At 39.6% G+C, this 19,526-nt stretch overlaps 4 annotated features.

Annotated features, from left to right (window-relative positions):
- Positions 4,142-4,667: an enhancer, noted in NCBI's record as "OCT4-NANOG hESC enhancer chrX:97784648-97785173 (GRCh37/hg19 assembly coordinates)". NCBI's record gives its function as "activates a minimal SCP1, AML or CMV promoter by ChIP-STARR-seq in primed H9 embryonic stem cells {active_cell/tissue: H9 hESC(primed)}" and the evidence as "EXISTENCE:reporter gene assay evidence [ECO:0000049][PMID:30033119]".
- Positions 9,073-9,916: an enhancer, noted in NCBI's record as "OCT4-NANOG-H3K27ac hESC enhancer chrX:97779399-97780242 (GRCh37/hg19 assembly coordinates)". NCBI's record gives its function as "activates a minimal SCP1, AML or CMV promoter by ChIP-STARR-seq in naive and primed H9 embryonic stem cells {active_cell/tissue: H9 hESC(naive and primed)}" and the evidence as "EXISTENCE:reporter gene assay evidence [ECO:0000049][PMID:30033119]".
- Positions 9,917-10,760: an enhancer, noted in NCBI's record as "OCT4-NANOG-H3K27ac hESC enhancer chrX:97778555-97779398 (GRCh37/hg19 assembly coordinates)". NCBI's record gives its function as "activates a minimal SCP1, AML or CMV promoter by ChIP-STARR-seq in naive and primed H9 embryonic stem cells {active_cell/tissue: H9 hESC(naive and primed)}" and the evidence as "EXISTENCE:reporter gene assay evidence [ECO:0000049][PMID:30033119]".
- Positions 10,761-11,604: an enhancer, noted in NCBI's record as "NANOG-H3K27ac hESC enhancer chrX:97777711-97778554 (GRCh37/hg19 assembly coordinates)". NCBI's record gives its function as "activates a minimal SCP1, AML or CMV promoter by ChIP-STARR-seq in naive H9 embryonic stem cells {active_cell/tissue: H9 hESC(naive)}" and the evidence as "EXISTENCE:reporter gene assay evidence [ECO:0000049][PMID:30033119]".

Below are 19,526 nucleotides of genomic sequence, written 5' to 3'. Positions count from 1 at the left end.
TTTTTTCCTTCAGCTCTTTCCCTCTCTCTCTCTCTCTCTCTCTCTCTCTCTCTATATATATATATATATATATATATATATATACACACAGTATCACTCTCTCCTGGCTTGTGGGGCTTCCACTGAAAAGTCTGTTGCCAAACTTTTCATGTTTGATGAATATTTTTTGCTGGATATACTATTCTAGGGTAAAAGTTTTTTTCCTTCAGCTCTTTCCCTCTCTCTCTCTCTCTCTCTCTCTCTCTCTCTCTATATATATATATATATATATATATACACACACACAGTATCACTCTCTCCTGGCTTGTGGGGCTTCCACTGAAAAGTCTGTTGCCAAACTTTTTGGAGCTCCCTTGTATGATTTTTATTATTATTATTTTGCTGCTTTTAGAATCCATCCTTTATCCTTGATCTTTGGGCATTTGAGCATTAAATGCTTCGAGGTAATCTTTTTTGGTTAAAATATGCTTGGTGTTTGAGAACCTTCACATACTTGGATATTGATATCTTTCTCTAGATTTGTAAGTTACCTGTTATTATCCCTTTGAATAAACTTTCTACCCCTATCTCTTTCTCTATCTCCTAATTAAGGCCAATAACTCTCAGATTTTCATTTGGAGCTGTTTTCTAGATCTTGTATGTGTGCTTCATTGATCTGATAGAATTCTGCATTCCTTCTCTGTGTTATCTTGAATTTCTCAGCCAGGTGCGGTGGCTTATGCCTGTAATCCCAGTGCTTTGGAAAGCTGAGGCGGGCAGATCACAAGGTCAGGAGTCCGAGAGCAGCCTGGCCAACATGGTGAAACCCCGTCTCTACTAAAGATACAAAAAAATTAGTCAGGTGTGGTGGCAGGCACCTGTAATCCCAGCTACTCAGGAGGCTGAGGCAGGAGAATCACTTGAACCTGGGAGGTGGAGGTTGCAGTGAGCCAAGACCGCACCACTGCACTCCAGCCTGGGCAACAGAGCGAGACTCTGTCTCAAAAAAAAAAAAAAAAATGAAGAATTTCTTTGAGTTTTCTCATCATAGCTATTTTGAATTAATTGTCTGAAAGGTCACATATCTCCATTTCTCCGTTTCCCTTGATGGTACTGATGCTCGTTGATGTTCTTCAGTGTCTGGATGTTGAAGACTTAGGTATTTATTTTAGTCTTCACTGTCTGGGCTTATTTGTCCCATCCTTCCTGGGAAGGTTTCCAGATATTTTAAAGGACTTGGATGTTTTGATCTGAGCTGTTTCTGCTTTAGGGGAAACCCCAATCCCAGTAATGCTGTGATTCTTGCAAACTCATAGAGGTACTGCCTTGATATCTTGGGCAAGATCTGGCAGAATTCTTTGGATTACCAGGTAGAGAGTCTTACTTTCTTCTCCTACTTTATCCCAAATATATAGAGCCTTTCTCTCTGTTCTGAGCCACCAAAAGCTCTAGGTGAAGTAACAGAAGCTCTCCTGTAACCACCACAACTATGACTGCACTGAGTCAGACCTGAAGCCAGCACAACACTGGGTCACATCCAAGACCTGCTGTAACCACTCCCTGGCTACTGCCTAGGTGCACTCAAGGCCCTGGGGCTCTACAACCAGTTGGCAGCAAAGCCAGTCAGGCCTGCATCCTTCTCTTCAGAGCATCTAGGTCCCTTAGGTCCTGGGTGATTCTAGAAGTGCGGTCTGAGAGTCAAAGACTAGAATTAAAAACCTTAGGAGTCTATCTGGTGTTCAATTCTATTGTGGCTGAGCTGGCACTCAAATCACAACACACGATTCTTTCCACTCTTCCCTCCCCTTTCCAAAGGCAGAGAGCCTCACACTGTAGCTGCCACCACAGCTGGCCGTGAAGAGTACTGCCAGACTACCACTGATAAGCCCTTAAGACCCAACGTCTCTTAAGTCAGCTTATGGTTAATGTTGCCTTGTCTGGGAATTTCCCTTCATGGCAGTGGTCTCCCCTCTAGCCCAGTGTATGTCAAGAAATGCCATCCAAGAGTCACATCCTGGGATTGGGGACCCCAAGAGCCTGTTTGGTACTCTACTCTCCTCTGGCAGTGTTGGTACCTGAAGCCAGCAACTCTCAGAGGCTCACCAAAGCCTTTCATGTAGTTCCTGGGTATCGTTGCTGATTATTGGGGCCTTAAGAGTTCTTCAGTTATCAGGTGATGAATGCTGGAAGGACTGGGTCCTCTCCTTCAAGGCAATATTTCCCTTCTGGCCCAGGGTGTGTCTAGGAATGCTGCCTGGGAGCTAGGTCCTGGAACAGGAGTCTCAAGACTCTGATTGATGCCCTATCCTGCTGTGGCTGAGCTAGTACCCAAGATGCAGGACAAAAAGTCCTCCCAACTCTTCTCTCTCCTCTCTTCAAGTGGAAGGAAGTGGTGTCTTTTGGAGCTGTGACCTGTGCAGCCTGAGTTTAGGGGAGGGGTGATGCCAGGACTCCTTTTGCTGCCCCAGCTGGTGTCTCAGTATGATGCTTGCCCTCCCAGCTCACTGCTTCTTGGCCTAGTTCAGCCCTAGAACTCACCTAAGAGTTGCAGTCCTTATGGCCTAGACTGTCTTTCAAATTTACTTAGACATGGAGACTACTTCGTCCCTCAGTGGCAAGGTTTGTGGGCCCTCAAGTTTAAACCGTTGGGATCAGTCATTCCCCTCTGGCTAGGGTTGGTTTAAATCCTTCCTATGTGGCTGGGCATCAGCTGAGTTTGGTCTGGTTTTTCTTTCTGCTCTAACACAACAGCAATGAGTTCAATGCCTCACAATTGCTGTGTTCTTTCTCCCCCAGCACCCAGAGATAATCTCCACACCAGGCCGCCAGTGCCAGGAGTAGGGGAGGGGTGGTTCAGTGATTCAGGACTGTTTTTATTTCTATCTATTCAGTGCCTCTTTCAGTAATATGAAGTTAAAACCAGGTACTGTGAGTGCTTACCTGATTTTTGGTTCTTATAAAGGTGTTTTTTCTTTGTGGATAGTTGTTAACTCAGTGTCCTTGTGGGGGTGATCATCAGTGGAGTTTATTTTCTTCCATCTTCATCCACCTTCAACCAAAGTGGTTGTGGGACTGAGCCCTTAACCTGTGGGGTCTGATATTCTCTCTAGCTACATAGTGTCAGAATCGAGTTTAATTATAGGACACCCAGCTAGTGCTGGATAATTGGTCAGTGTGGGGAAAAAAAAACCCCACACATTTTGGTGTCTAGAAGTACTGATTGGTGAGAGGGTAGTAGAAGAGAAAAACCCAAGTTTTTCCCTATCCACAACCCCAAGCTATAACCATATTCCATTCCTTAACTGTAGTCCTGACAATTGCCCTCAGTACCTGAGGGCCTTGTTCCCCTCTTCCCTTTTTATTCTGTTCTAAAAAAAAAAAAAAAAAAAAATGCCAACCATTTTGATTACAATTTCTTTCTTTTTTTTTTTTTTTAGCATAGACCAATTACATATTCAAACGTACCTAAGTCACATTATGAAAAGACAAGTGCTGCTGTTGAAATGATTTCATCTGGGTTAACAAACGGCATTTTTATAGAAATTTGTGCTATATAGGGTCAAAACAAAAAAATAAACTCTGCAACAACTTACTTTTAACAGTAGTAGACAAAAAATCTGGAAAATTAAACTATAATAATGAAACTTCTTTTTAGGCTAACATTTTGAATTTAAAATCATTGTCATTATTTATAGTATAATAAGTTAAGGAAACCAGTGGACAGTACTTATAGTGAGTGCTACAAAGCAGGCAATCCACCTTGACTTACCTTACTAGAACCTATTCGGGGCATGGAAATGTGCTAATTGTTCTGTTTCCCCACTTGACTCTTTCTCAGTAGCCTATACCAAAGTATGCCTTTGCTTGGCAAACTAGCAATAAAGAAAACAGAAAGTATGCATTACTGATGAGGTTGCTTCTGAATTAAAAATCAAGGTACATATATGTATATAAATACCCTACCTTTACCTGTAAAGATGGCACTGTTTTAATGAAAAAGGAAAAGCTGGTATGATTATCTGTAGAGTTATATTACCCGAAATTTAATTACAACATAAATTGGAAGAATGAATATAAACTTTGGGGGTACAATGAAGAAGGGATCTGTTTTCATATCCTTGGTTTCTGTTTGAGTTGTAATTCTAGTGCAGAAGAGACAATCCAAAGTGAACAAAGACCTGAACATGGTTCATTTACTTTTAGGTATTCCACAGTATCATTGACTTTTGAGTAATCGCTAACTTTCTGTCTTGTGGTCTGCCGTAAGTGTCAGGCCTCCGAGCCCAAGCCAAGCCATCGCATCCCCTGTGACTTGCACGTATACGCCCAGATGGCCTGAAGTAACTGAAGAATCACAAAAGAAGTGAATATGCCCTGCCCCACCTTAACTGATGATATTCCACCACAAAAGAAGTGCAAATGGCCGGTCCTTGCCTTAAGTGATGACATTACCTTGTGAAAGTCCTTTTCCTGGCTCATCCTGGCTCAAAAAGCACCCCCACTGAGCACCTTGCGACCCCCACTCCTGTGCGCCAGAGAACAAACCCCCTTTGACTGTAATTTTCCTTTACCTACCCAAATCCTATAAAACGGCCCCACCCTTATCCCCCTTCACTGACTCTCTTTTCGGACTCAGCCCACCTGCACCCAGGTGAAATAAATAGCCATGTTGCTCACAAAAAGCCTGTTTAGTGGTCTCTTCACACGGACACGCATGAAATTTGGTGTCGTGACTTGGATCGGGGGACCTCCCTTGGGAGATCAATCCCCTGTCCTGTTCTTTGCTCCGTGAGAAAGATCCACCTACAACCTCAGGTCCTCAGACCGACCAGCCCAAGGAACATCTCACCAATTTTAAATCAGGTAAGCGGCCTCTTCTTACTCTCTTCTCCAACCTCTCTCACTGTCCCTCAACCACTTTCTTCTTTCTACTCTTCAATCTCTCCCTTCTCTTAATTTCAATTCCTTTCATTTTCTGGGAGAGACAAAGGAGATACATTTTATCTGTGGACCCAAAACTCCGGCGCCGGTCACGGACTGGGAAGGCAGCCTTCCCTTGGTGTTTAATCATTGCAGGGACGCCTCCCTGATTATTCACCCACGTTTCAAAGGTGTCAGACCATGCAGGGATGCCTGCCTTGGTCCTTCACCCTTAGCGTCAAGTCCCGCTTTTCTGGGGAAGGGGCAAGTACCCCAATCCCTTCTCTCCTTGTCTCTACCCCTTCTCTGCTTTCCTGGGGCAGGGGCAAGTACCCCTCAACCCCTTCTCCTTCACCCTTAGCGGCAAGTCCCGCTTTTCTGGGGGAGGGGCAAGTACCCCTCAACCCCTTCTCCTTCACCCTTAGTGGCAAGTCCCGCTTTTCTAGGGGGCAAGAACCCCCAATCCCTTATTTCTGCACCCCAACCTTGTATCTCTGCGCCCCAATCCCTTATTTCTGTGCCCCGACCCCTTATTTCTGTGCCCCATCCCTTATTTCCGCACCCCGATCTCTTATCTCTGTGCCCCAACCCCTTTTCCCACTTTTCTGGAAGATAAGAACCCCGAACCCCTTCCCTCCATTTCTCTAGTCTCTCTTTTCTCTAGGCTTGCTTCCTTCACTATAGGCAATCTTCCACCCTCCATTCCTCCTTCTACTCCCTTGGCCTGTGTTCTCAAAAACTTAAAACCTCTTCAACTCACACCTGACCTAAAACCTAAATGCCTTATTTTCTTCTGCAATGCCACTTGACACCAATACAAACTCGACAGTAGTTCCAAATAGCCAGAAAATGGCACTTTGAATTTTTCCATCCTGCAAGATCTAAATAATTCTTGTGATAAAATAGGCAAACGGTCTGAAGTGCCTGACGTCCAGGCATTCTTTTACACATCAGTCCCTTCCTAGTCTCTGTGCCCAGTGCAACTCGTCCCAAATCTTCCTTCTTTCCCTCCCGCGTGTCCCCTCAGTCCCAACCCCAAGTGTTGCTGAGTCTTTCTAATCTTCCTTTTCTACAGAGCCATCTGACCTCTCCCCTCCTTGCCAGGCCAAGCTAGGTCCCAATTCTTCCTCAGCCTCCGCTCCTCCACCCTATAATCTTTTTATCGCCTCCCCTCCTCACACCTGGTCCAGCTTACAGTTTCATTCCGTGACTAGCCCTCCCCCACCTGCCCAGCAATTTACTCTTAAAAAGGTTGCTGGAGCCAAAGGCATAGTCAAGGTTAATGCTCCTTTTTCTTTATCCCAAATCAGATAGTGTTTAGGCTTTTTCATCAAATATAAAAATACAGCCCAGTTCATGACTTGTTTGGCAGCAACCCTGAGACACTTTACAGCCCTAGACCCTAAAAAGTCAAAAGGCCGTCTTATTCTCAAAATACCTTTTATTACCCAATCTGCTCCCGACATTAAATAAAACTCCAAAAATTAAATTCCGGCCCTCAAACCCCACAACAGGATTTAATTAACCTCACCTTCAAGGTGTACAATAATAGAAAAAAGTTGCAATTCCTCCTTGCCTCCACTGTGAGACAAACCCCAGCCACATCTCCAGCACACAAGAACTTCCAAACGCCTGAACTGCAGCGGCCAGGCGTTCCTCCAGAACCTCCTCCCACAGGAGCTTGCTACACTTGCCGGAAATCTGGCCACCGGGCCAAGGAATGCCTGCAGCCCGGGATTCCTCCTAAGACACGTGACATCTGTGTGGGACCCCACTGAAAATCGGACTGTTCAACTCACCTGGCAGCCACTCCCAGAGCCCCTGGAACTCTGGCCCAAGGCTCTCTGACTGACTCCTTCCCAGATCTTCTCAGCTTAGCGGCTGAAGACTGACGCTGCCTGATCACCTCGGAAGCCCCTTAGACCATCACGGATGCCGAGCTTCCAGTAACTCTCACAGTGGAAGGTAAGCCCATCCCCTTCTTAATCAATACGGAGGCTACCCACTCCACATTACCTTCTTTTCAAGGGCCGGTTTCCCTCGCCTCCATAACTGTTGTAGGTATTGACGGCCAGGCTTCTAAACCTCTTAAAACTCCCCAACTCTGGTGCCAACTTAGACAATACTCTTTTAAGCACTCCTTTTTAGTTATCCCCACCTGCCCAGTTCCCTTATTAGGCTGAGACACTTTAACTAAATTATATGCTTCCCTGACTATTCCTGGACTACAGCTATATCTCATTGCCGCCCTTCTTCCCAATCCAAGACCTCCTTTGTGTCCTCCTCTTGTATCCCCCCACCTTAACCCACAAGTATAAGATACCTCTACTCTCTCCTTGGCGACCGATCATGCACCCCTTACCATCTCATTAAAACCTAATCACCCTTACCCCACTCAATGCCAATATCCCATCCCGCAGCACGCTTTAAAAAGATTAAAGCCTGTTATCACTCACCTGCTACAGCATGACCTTTTAAAGCCTATAAACTCTCCTTACAATTCCCCCATTTTACCTGTCCTAAAACCAGACAAGCCTTACAAGTTAGTTCAGGATCTGTGCCTTATCAACCAAATTGTTTTGCCTATCCACCCCGTGCTGCCAAACCCATATACTCTCCTATCCTCAATACCTGCCTCTATAACCCATTATTCTGTTCTAGATCTCAAACATGCTTTCTTTACTATTCCTTTGCACCCTTAATCCCAGCCTCTCTTCACTTTCACTTGGACTGACCCTGACACCCATCAAGCTCAGCAAATTACCTAGGCTGTACTGCTGCAAAGCTTCACAGACAGCCCCCATTACTTCAATCAAGCCCAAATTTCTTCCTCATCTGTTACCTATCTTGGCATAATTCTCATAAAAACACACGTGTTCTCCCTGCCAATCGTGTCTGACTGATCTCTCAAACCCCAGCACCTTCTACAAAACAACAACTCCTTTCCTTCCTAGGCATGGTTAGCACGGTCAGAATTCTTACACAAGAGCCAGGACCACACCCTGTAGCCTTTCTGTCCAAACAACTTGACCTTACTGTTTTAGCCTAGCCCTCATGTCTGCATGCAGCGGCTGCCGCTGCTTTAATACTTTTAGAGGCCCTCAAAATCACAAACTATGCTCAACTCACTCTCTACAGTTCTCATAACTTCCAAAATCTATTTTCTTCCTCATACCTGATGCATATACTTTCTGCTTCCTGGCTCCTTCAGCTATACTCACTCTTTGCTGAGTCTCCCACAATTACCGTTGTTCCTGGCCCACACTTCAATCCGGCCTCCCACATTATTCCTGATACCACACCTGACCCCCATGACTGTATCTCTCTGATCCACCTGACATTCACCCCATTTCCCCAAATTTCCTTCTTTCCTGTTCCTCACCCTGATCACGCTTGATTTATTGATGGCGGTTCCACCAGGCCTAATCGCCACATACCAGCAAAGGCAGGCTATGCTATAGTACAAGCCACTAGCCCGCCTCTTAGAACCTCTCATTTCCTTTCCATCGTGGAAATCTATCCTCAAGGAAATAACTTCTCAGTGTTCCATCTGCTATTCTACTACTCCTCAGGGATTATTCAGGCCCCCTCCCTTCCCTACACATCAAGCTCGAGGATTAGCCTCACCCAGAACTGGCAAATTAGCTTTACTCAACATGCCCTGAGTCAGATAACTAAAATACCTCTTAGTCTGGGTAGATACTTTCACTGGATAGGTAGAGGCCTTTCCTACAGGGTCTGAGAAGGCCTCCTCAGTCATTTCTTGCCTTCTGTCAGACATAATTCCTCAGTTTAGCCTTCCCACCTCAATACAGTCTGATAACAGACGAGCCTTTATTAGTCAAATCAGCCAAGCAGTTTTTCAGGCTCTTAGTATTCAGTGAAACCTTTATATCCCTTATGGTCCTCCGTCTTCAAGAAAAGTAGAATGGACTAAAGGTCTTTTAAAAACACACCTCACCAAGCTCAGCCACCAACCTAAAAAGGACTGGACAATACTTTTACCACTTGCCCTTCTCAGAATTCAGGCCTGTCCTCGGAATGCTACAGGGTACAGCCCATTTGAGCTCCTGTATAGACGCTCCTTTTTATTAGGCCCCAGTCTCATTCCAGACACCAGACCAACTTAGACTGTGCCCCCCAAAAATCTTGTCATCCCTACTATCTTCTGTCTAGTCATACTCCTATTCACCGTTCTCAACTACTCATACATGCCCTGCTCTTGTTTACACTGCTGGTTTACACTGTTTTTCCAAGCCATCACAGCTGATATCTCCTGGTGCTATCCCCAAACTGCCACTCTTAACTCTTCAAGTAAATAAATAATATTTGCTGGCAGGACTATGCTGAATCTCCTTAGGCACTCTCTAATCAGATATCCTGAGTCGTCCCAATTCTTAGACCTTTTATACCTGTTTTTCTCCTTCTGTTATTCCATTTAGTTTCTCAATTCATCCAAAACCGTATCCAGGCCATCACCAATCATTCTATACAACAAATGTTTCTTCTAACATCCCCACAATATCACCCCTTACCACAAGACCTCCCTTCAGCTTAATCTCTCCCACTCTAGGTTCCCATGCCGCCCCTAATCCTGCTCGAAGCAGCCCTGAGAAACATCGCCCATTCTCTCTCCATACCACCCCTCAAAAATTTTCGCCACCCCAACACTTCAACACTATTTTGTTTTATTTTTCTTATTAATATAAGAAGGCAGGAATGTCAGGCCTCTGAGCCCAAGCCAAGCCATCGCATCCCCTGTGACTTCCACTGTATATGCCCAGATGGCCTGAAGTAACTGAAGAATCACAAAAGAAGTGAATACGCCCTGCCCCACCTTAACTGATGACATTCCACCACAAAAGAAGTGTAAATGGCCGGTCCTTGCCTTAAGTGATGACATTACCTTGTGAAAGTCCTTTTCCTGGCTCATCCTGGCTCAAAAAGCACCCCCAGTGAGCACCTTGCGACCCCCACTCCTGCCCGCCAGAGAACAAACCCCCTTTGACTGTAATTTTCCTTTACCTACCCAAATCCTATAAAACGGCCCCACCCTTATCTCCCTTTGCTGACTCTCTTTTCGGACTCAGCCCGCCTGCACCCAGGTGAAATAAACAGCCATGTTGCTCACACAAAGCCTGTTTAGTGGTCTCTTCAAAGGGACATGTATGAAAGTAAGTCTGAAGAAGAATTGCTGTATAGAGCATAGTAACTACCCACTCTTTGTTTCTTTCAGGAATGCTCATCAGAGTTTGCTAGATAATAAAGTATTAATGGAAAAAACTAAATCCTATAAAATATTTTAAAGAGGACTATTTTGAGCCAGTATGAGTAACCATGGCCTGGGGAAAAGTCTCTGGAGGTCCAGAGAACGTGTGCCTGAGGTGGTCAGGTTACAGTTTGTTTTTATACATTTTAGGAAGGCAGGAATTACAGGCAAAGACATAAATCAGTACATGGAAGGTATATGTTGATACAGCCCCCAAAAAGGTAGGATATCTTGAAGACGGGACATACATGTTATAGTTGAATTTAAAGATTTTTCTGATTCGCAATTGGTTGAAAGAGTTAAACTTTGTCTAAAGATTTGAAGTCAGTAGAAAGAAATACTTAAGATAAGTGGGGTCTTGAAGGCCAGGGTTCTTGTGATGTAGATGAAGCCTCTTAGGTAGCAACCTTCAGAGAGAATAAATGGTAAATGTCTCTTTTTAGACTTTAAAAGTTGTCAAACTCTTAATCTCTATAGATCCAGGAAATGCTTAGAAAGGGAAGGCCTGGCTACATTATTGAAGGTTCTCTACAGATGCAAATTTTCCCCACAAAAGACGGCTTTGCAGGGTCATTTCAAATGTGTCAAAGAAATATGTTTTGAGATAAAATATTTTTATTTCCTTCCAGGTCTACTATCTGTCATGCGATGCTATACCAGAGTCAGGTTGGAAAGCCACATTATACCAGGTTAATTAAAAAACAAGTCTAACAAAATTGTATGGTTTGTAGGATGTGACTTAACCCTTATCTTGCATGGCCTCAGGTCTGGGTTATAATCTGGTATCTAATTGCCACAGTCTGTTTTGTCAGTTTTGTGTTCTCTATTTTAACCTTAATACCGGTCAGTTGTGCTTAAGCTCCAAAAGGGAGGGAGGGTAATGAGGTGTGTCTGACCTCCCTTCCTGTCATGGCTGGGAATTCAGTTTTTCAGGTTTCTCTGTGGTCTCCTTGGCCAAGAGGATGTCTATTTGTGGCAAGCGAGGTCTCCCTAACGGCTGAACAGGCAGGCCACCATAACAACTGTCTCAGCACTGACTGAGTGGTTAGGTTAGATACTAAAAGCTGAAAGAGCCAGTGCCCTTATACAAAGGCTGGGATGTAACAAAAGCCCACCAAGAGTTTTGCCTAAGCCTTTCCTGGGCCTTAAAGCATGACAAGATAATGAAGGAATTCTTAAAAGGACCCATTTAGGATTAAACAAGTTTTATTGGGTGTCTGAAGAAACTCCCCAGGCCTCCACAAACAAGTTTATTGGGGGTCTGAAGCAACTCCCCAAACCTCCATGCTTTAGTAGGAGACAAGATAAGGGTAATCACCACAACACCGGGACCCATTTAGATTGAGTAAATTTACTGAAGTTCCAGAGGAAGTTCTTCAGGACTCAGACCTTAGTTATAGATTAGAATAAGTTAATCATTTATGTCTTTAGATGGATGCGCACTTACACGTAGACATATAGCTAAGAAGGTATATAAGCTCTGGAAAAGTTTGTAATTTTGAGTTGGTCTGATGATAATTTCCAAGCCTTCTCCCTGCACCCTGTTACAGAAATAAAAACACTCTTCTTTCCCAGTTCATCTGCATCTTGTTATCAGGCTGAGAGAATAAGGAGCTTGACCCTCGGTTTCGTCTGGGAACACATTCAGTTGTTTTGGAGGCTTAGGATTTTATTTTTGGTTTACAGAAACTACAAGCTGAGCATCTGCTAGCAATTCACTTTGTGTATTGTTCACAAACCAAGGTTCAAATGAAGATACTAAGGGGACATCAGAGGAAAAGGGTAATTATTCTTTTTTTGTTTTGGAGGTGTGCCATATTTGCCTATTTGTTTTGTTTTCTCCTGGGTCCACAAATTATGTCAACACTAGAAAGAGAATATTGTTCATAGTTGAATAGTTGAAAGAGTTGGTGTGATGTGGACACATATCACTAATTATGTGGAAAATATTAATAACACTGTGACTCTTATAAAATCCTTTGAGAACCTTACTAGTATAAGGCAATTGTTTGGTCACAAGTGTTAGCAAAATCTCTCAAAAGATAGTAGAAGGGTTTGACAAAGATGATCTTTTATCTTTTGGTAGTATGAAGTGGATTCTGGTACTATCTATAACATGTTCAGAAGATCTCAAAGGAGGATGGCAGGACCTCTGAGCATAAGTTCCTCTGCAGCTCTGGCTAACTTGGATGAATTGTTTTAAGTCTCAAGCAGAGAACATGACTATGGCTAAAAGAAAAGGAACTTAACACAGAAACATCAAGATTACGTGCGATTTAGTGGAGTGATTCTTACACTTTTTGATCATTACTGTAGTAAAAATCCAAAAATGCCTAATTTGAGAGCCTTGTAGATGACAGACAGCCTAACAGTAAGAAGCTTCTTGCCATGTTACTTCTGACGAACATTGACAATTCACCACAGAAATAACTTGGCTCATCATTAGTAGTTTACTCTGCTAGGCAACCTCTTCTTTGATTCAAAATGTTTTAAAAGACAAAAATCACTGCTGTTGTGCATCAAGGATGCATTGGTCTTTTAAATCTGATTGAAGTCTAAATTAGCCATGAGGAACTATAGCATAGGAACAATTTCAATCTATGCACCCATTACTTCAAATAGTTGATTTATACATTGTCCCATGCTAGAGCCAAACAAATACCATAGAGAACAATTAGCATTTTTGACACATATATTGAAACATTTTGAAGTATTTGTCTCATATAACTTGAAAAGAGATATTCAGATCTCTTAGAGCTTTAACCATGTCTTCATTTTCTATTAATCAGTATTGCATTGCTAAACTACAGTGTTTAATACTGGGAAAATTTACCACAATATTTAGCATTGTTTGTAATTAATAGTTGATAATTTTTGTACTTTAAATATTTTTTCTTCAAGAATTCACAGAATGTAGACCACTCTGACAATACCTTATGAATTAAGGAAAGTTATATGCTTTGTGAATTGTCTTACTTGCATATTAATCAGACACAACACAATTCAAATTCGATTTAACATACTTTGCTATATGCTTACTTACAAATAAACATTTGACTAAGTGCTGTAGTGGGATGTCATAATGAACGAAATATATTCTCAGTCCTCAAAGACATACACTTTAGTCAGGAAAATAAGGTGTGCTTATAGATTACTTCTTTGCTACAAATACATTCATGTACAGACATATCCTCTAGCATCCAATTGACTTCAAACACAAGTCTTACTTGACACTCTTCAATTGCTCTCATTTTACTTTAATGGCAAAAATGAATACTTTTTTCTAAGACCCTTTACCTGACTCTTGCCTGCCCCTCCAACCTCATTGTTTCATTAAATCCTCTCCATCATCTCTATAATCCAATCATAATAACAAATTAATTGATCAACATTGTTATTTTGTTCTGATTTTTACTTTTTACATTAGTTTTTAGTTAAGCGATAAATAAACATATTCTCTTGGTAAAATAATTACAAGTATTTTATAATTACAAATATTACAAATATGGCTAAAACACAGTCTGAACAGTATCTCAAATGGTCTATCCTGTCCCCCAGTGGTAATCACTGTATCAGGTATATGTCCTTCCAGATGTTTAATACATTTACATGTGTAATGTTGCTTTGTTTCATGTTTTAATCTGTAGAGGATCATATTTTGCACAGTTTCTGTGATTTATTTATTTCATTCAACAAATACCTCGGAAATTTTACTATATCAATGTAATAATATAGCATTTCCCTAGCATGAATTAATAAATAGTTTTAATCTCTTTGTTATGTCTCTTTTTAATGCTTTAGATATTTATTTTAATTCCTCTTTCTTTTTTTAAATTATATGTAATAACAGTTAGTTTCCTTTTTTGGTCCTTGCAATTTAGCTAGTTTATGTTTTATTGATCAAATCTATATTTTGTTTTTTATTATTAATTTCTGCACTTGTCTTTTATTAATTTCTTTAACAGAATTTACTTTATGATCCTTTTAGCTTCCTGAATCAGAAGGGGTTTTAAAAATTTATTCTGTGCTTTTCTTATCTGATAAATTCATTGAAGGTATATAATACTAATTTCTATTATTCATTGAAGGTATATAATACTAATTATAATACTAATTTCTGTTTCCTTTTTTAACCTAAGATGTATTCCAATGTGTGCTTTTAAATTTTTAGGTGTATAGGGTTTCTGTTTGTTTTGTCTTACTACATTTTGGTTATTACTATATCAATTGTTTATTACTTTCTAATTTTATTGCATAGTAGTCAGTAAGTATAATGTGTCCTGTAAGATTTTGATTTTTTAATTTGTTTAGATTTTTTTTCTTGAGGCTTAGTATATGGTCAATTTTTGAAAAATATTTGAAAATAATTTGCATTCTTCTTTTGCAGGTACAAATACATGTGCTTGTAATATATGTATATTAAACTTAGTTTGTTAATTCTAAAATTCAAATTCTCTATATTCTTTCTCACTTTTTTAATACATTTGGTCTATAAACTTAGTGAAATATGTTAAATTATCACTGTGATTGCAGATTTTTCCGTTTCTCCTTGAAATTCTGTCAGTTTTTGTTTACATTTTTTAAAACTACATAATTAGGTAATAAACTTTCATGATTTTTGTATTTGTGATGGACTATTCTTTTTCAGTATGAAATATTCTCTGTGGCCTTTTGATACCTTTTGCTTCTTTTGCTTCAAATTCTGGTTTTCTGATAATGTCATACCTGTATTTCTTTTTTTTTTTTTTTTTTGAGATTAAGTCTCACTCTGTTTCCCAGGCTGGAGTGCAGTGGCCTGATCTCGGCTCACCACAACTTCCATCTCCCAGGTTCAAGCGATTCTCCTGCCTGAGCCTCCCGAGTAGCTGGGAGTACAGGCCCGCACCACAATGTCCAGCTAATCTTTGTATTTTTAGTAGAGACGGGGTTTCACTATGTTGGCCAGGCTGGTCTCGAAATCCTGACATCGTGATCTGCCCACCTTGGCCTCCCAAAGTGCTGGGATCGCAGGCGTGAGCCACCGGACCCAGCCCACACCTGTATTTCTTACAGTCTCTGTTGCAACCAAAAATGGTTACCAGCTTACAATGGTTCAACTTGCAATGTTTTGACTTTATAATGGTGCAACATTGATACACATTCAGTAGAAACTACACTTCTAGTAGCCGTGCAGCCATTCTGTTTTTCATTTCCAGTACAGTATTCAATAAATTATATGAGATATTCAACACCTTATTGCAAAATATGCTTTGTATTAGATGAATTTGCCCAACTGTGTGCTAATATAAGTATTCTGAACATGTTAAGTTAGGCTAGACTAAGCCATAATGTTTGTAACATTAGATACATTAAATGCATTTTTGCCTTATGATATTTTCAATTTACTATAGGTTTATATGGGATGTAACCTCATCGTAAGGTGAGAAGCATCTATACTCAACTCTGTTGTTATAATATGAAAGCAGCCTTAGACAATATATAAGCAAATAAGTATGACTGTGTTCTAGTAAGCCTTCATTCACAAGAACTGGTAGCTGGGTGGATTTGGCCTGTGGGCCGTAGCTTGCTGACCCCTGCTTCAGGTGATATTGCCACAATCTAAGAAGAACTTAGTTACTACAACTTTGACTAAGTATTTGTTTTCTTAAGGCAGAAAGATGCTGATTATTATGTGTTCTAAATAGATAGTAGCTTTCACAACTTGCCAAGCATTTCACGAGCATCACACTTGTTAAAATATCTGAGAGGAGGATACTAGATTTTATAAAGGTATAAACTCACAGGAAGAGAAAGAAAATGGCCGTAAAGCTGCACAAGGAGTTAGTAGAAAAAGCAAAATAATAAACACCATCCACTCAAGGTGAGATTGAACTTTCTAAGTAGCACCTTTGTCAGCAGTTACATGTACTTGCCTTACAGGCCCTGAAAGAGCCACTTTTCAAGAGACCTGATTTGCATTATTATCTGGTATGCAATAGTGACACCACATAGAAAAACTGAAAAAAAATTGAGAGTGTTTATTTTTCGCATTTATTTGCCTCTAACATGTTTTGACTATATTTAATTTAATAATTATCATTTTTTTCTTTGGTTTACATTCTTATGCTGGCAACAATAAACACCAAAGGGATTGTGAAAGCATTAACAGATTTGTCATCTGTATTTTTTTCTCTATTTCCTTAGAAAGTCATTAAGTTGCTCTTAATTTCCTCTTGAAACACACATGTGTAAAAATCAATTTCCCAAGCAGATTCACCAAAAAAAGATGAACAAACAGCAAAACAAAAGCAGAATATTTGCGACCACTATTTTGGAAACATTTGAGTAAGAAAATTTAAGTAAACCCCATGCTAGAGTTGTGAAATTGAACGGATATCAAGAATGTCATGCCCTTTGTCGTTATGAACAAAAGGTCAGGCCTATTTGATCAGAATATGTTATTTTTAGAAAAACAATTTTATAAAAGTGTTTTTCCTTTTCTCTAATTCTGCTCACAAGAACCAAAGAATTATTCTGCTTTTAGTTTCAACTGTGAATTTTCAAAGGAGTTGTTTTTCGTAATGCCACTCTGTACAGTATTTGAAGGAAAGTTTCAAAGTATAATAATTATGGAGTTCTGTGGTTGACTCTAAATTTCCAAGGAAGTAAGTGTTGCGTCACTGATTTGGGGTGGCATCTTTTGCTTCTAGACTACTTTTAAAAATTCAAATGTATGAACAGAAAATTCTCACTTCAAAGAGAAATAAAACTGTTTTGAAAGACAGCCTTTGAATGCAATCTTTTTCAAAAAGAGCCTATTTAGAGAAAATGGAATCCAAAAATGTCAACTTCCATATTCTTCCTGAGAATATGTTTTCTTTTTGACAACAGCACTGATAAACTAAGAGTACTTTTTAAAACAAACACACTTTGTTTGGTTATAGAAAAAGTAGTGGAAAATTGATGGTGCCAACACTCATAATATAATTTCATTAAAAAGCAATACATTTTATGTATTTGATATGAGCAACTGCCTAAACCCACATAGTGTATATGAGAAGACTCAAATTCACTTTAAAAAAACAAGTCATAGGATGTGTTTATGTGTGCATGTGTATGTCTCCAACGAATCTATTCAAACCCAAAAGAATGATTTCTTGCTACAATTTTGATCAATTTTAAAAGTTGAAATATAATAGAAAAATATGTTCTAACATTATATAATTGATTTTGTTTTTCCATTTTTATCGAAGATTACTATAAGTACCCTTTGATGTAAAAGAAAATAGTCTTCCTCATTGGTAGCACAAAAGATATTGAATATGACAAAGATCTTTTAAATAATAGTTTAAATCAAAACATTGTGGATAACAATACTTGCATTCCTACAGACTAGGAAAAGATAAATGCTACTGTCACTGTTAGTTAAATAAGGGTGAGGCAGAAATTGCAAGAAGGATGTTGATCTGTCAGGGAGTTTGGGTAGCCATTTTCAATAATAAGTGTAGTTTTGCTTCAGGAGTTCACACCAATAAGGCATAATGAGACAAAATGGTTGTGTAAAACCCTAAAGAAAAAAAATGCATGTATTATTTAAAACACTTTTTTTTAATTTTGCGCACAATTCTCATAAGAGTTTTAACATTTATTTTCCAGAAAAAAAATGCAATCACAGGTAAAGATAATGCTCTTAGATAGACAATGCTGTTACTTTTATTAACATATTTTTATGTCTCTGTAATTCATTTTCTTCCAAAAAACATTTTTATTATAAGTTCTCAATTAAAATTTTCAATCACATTGAATAAGCACTACAGATGGTCATATGAATTAAATGGTCACATTACGCAATATACAATATAGGTGCCATGTACTTCTCTAAGTTGCCTGACAAATTTTTATTTTTAAAATGTAAATATTTAACATTAAACTTATAAGAGTAAAATGATCTGTTAGAAACAAGCTCATCCTTTTATACTATTCCACTTCTAACCAAATCAAAAAATTCAAACCTGGTAACTGTGTTTTAGCCTTGAAAATGTCTTAAAAATATACTCAAAGAAAGGAAAATAGTTGGTTTTCTGCTTGTGTTTTTTAAAAAAAAAAAAATTGGTGTAGTACATTTTCTTTTTTACTTTACGTGATCTTTTGTGTTTCTAATGTGAAGATCTACCAGGCATGAATGAAATGATTCATAGGTTTCTACAGTTCCAACTCAAACAGAATAATTCCTAATGACCAGATCTCTTAGGATATGTAATAAAGAAGATAAAGTAGGGCAAACATTAAGGAGGATTTTATTTTTCTTTTAACAACATACTTATACATGCATCAATCAATATTAAGATCAGAAAAACGTACACTTTGACCACTAATTCTGTGAAAGTTGGGAGTCAGACTCTGGTTAAGCAAGATCAAACTAGGAGAAGTTGAGGTAAAAGTGTAGGATATGGAAAATAAGATCCAAACAACAAAATAATATTAGGGTTTGGTTACTTTCACAGTGAGTACACGGGATCATGAATCCAAAGGAAGATCTGAAATCTGAAAATCGGGCCAGCATGGAAAGCACAGAACAAATGAATAAGAAGTGGGAATTCAGGCAGACGGTAACATTTTTTTTTTCTTTAGGTATTTTGGAAGCACCTGTGGGCAACAAATTCATTGGCAGGAGACCTAGGCACTGGGAAACTCATATTTCAGTGAGTAAAGCCAGTGTTTGGGATTACTGAAGTCCTGTTTATGAACTAAAGCATCAAAGTTAGAAGAGGACAAGGAGTAAGATTCATGAGTCTCATTATACCCTTCCCCTTCTCAATTTAAACACCCAACCTACACACCTACACACACACACGCATGCATACATGCACATACACAACAACCTCTGCATAGTCTGAAGTCTGAGGTGTGGCAGATCCTGAAAAAAGGTAATGTAAGAATAAGTAAGAATTATAGACAGCCATGATTTTTAGTTGTTTTAAAGGTATCTAACCTTTTTTTCCAAATGGAGAATATGAGGCTCAGAAAAGTTACTCAACTGTTCAACCTCACTGAGGCTGTTTCTTCCCATAAAACAAAACCATCGGGAAGATTAAATATGGGATAACAGATGAAGGTTCATAAGTATTAGGTGCTCCCAGTTTGCAACTTCCCGTTCCATAAAACCATCCCTAGTCTTCCTATAAAGAAGTACTGTAGGCTCTTAATGTATGTACAGGAATATATATACATGAAAATCATGTATATTGTCACTTTTTGTCTCTTTTTTTTCCAATTATATCACATTTGGGGAGGAAGAACTTTCTAGGAGAAATAAGGTTTCTCTCACCTCTGGAGTGTTACAGCAGGCAGGATGATGTCTAGGGAAACATAAGGCTTC

The sequence above is a fragment of the Homo sapiens genome, chromosome X (assembly GCF_000001405.40).
Source record: "Homo sapiens chromosome X, GRCh38.p14 Primary Assembly".
NCBI classification, from domain to species: Eukaryota; Metazoa; Chordata; class Mammalia; order Primates; family Hominidae; genus Homo; species Homo sapiens.
The sequence above is the reverse complement of the archived record's forward strand: the minus strand, read 5'-3'. Positions and strand labels throughout refer to the sequence as shown.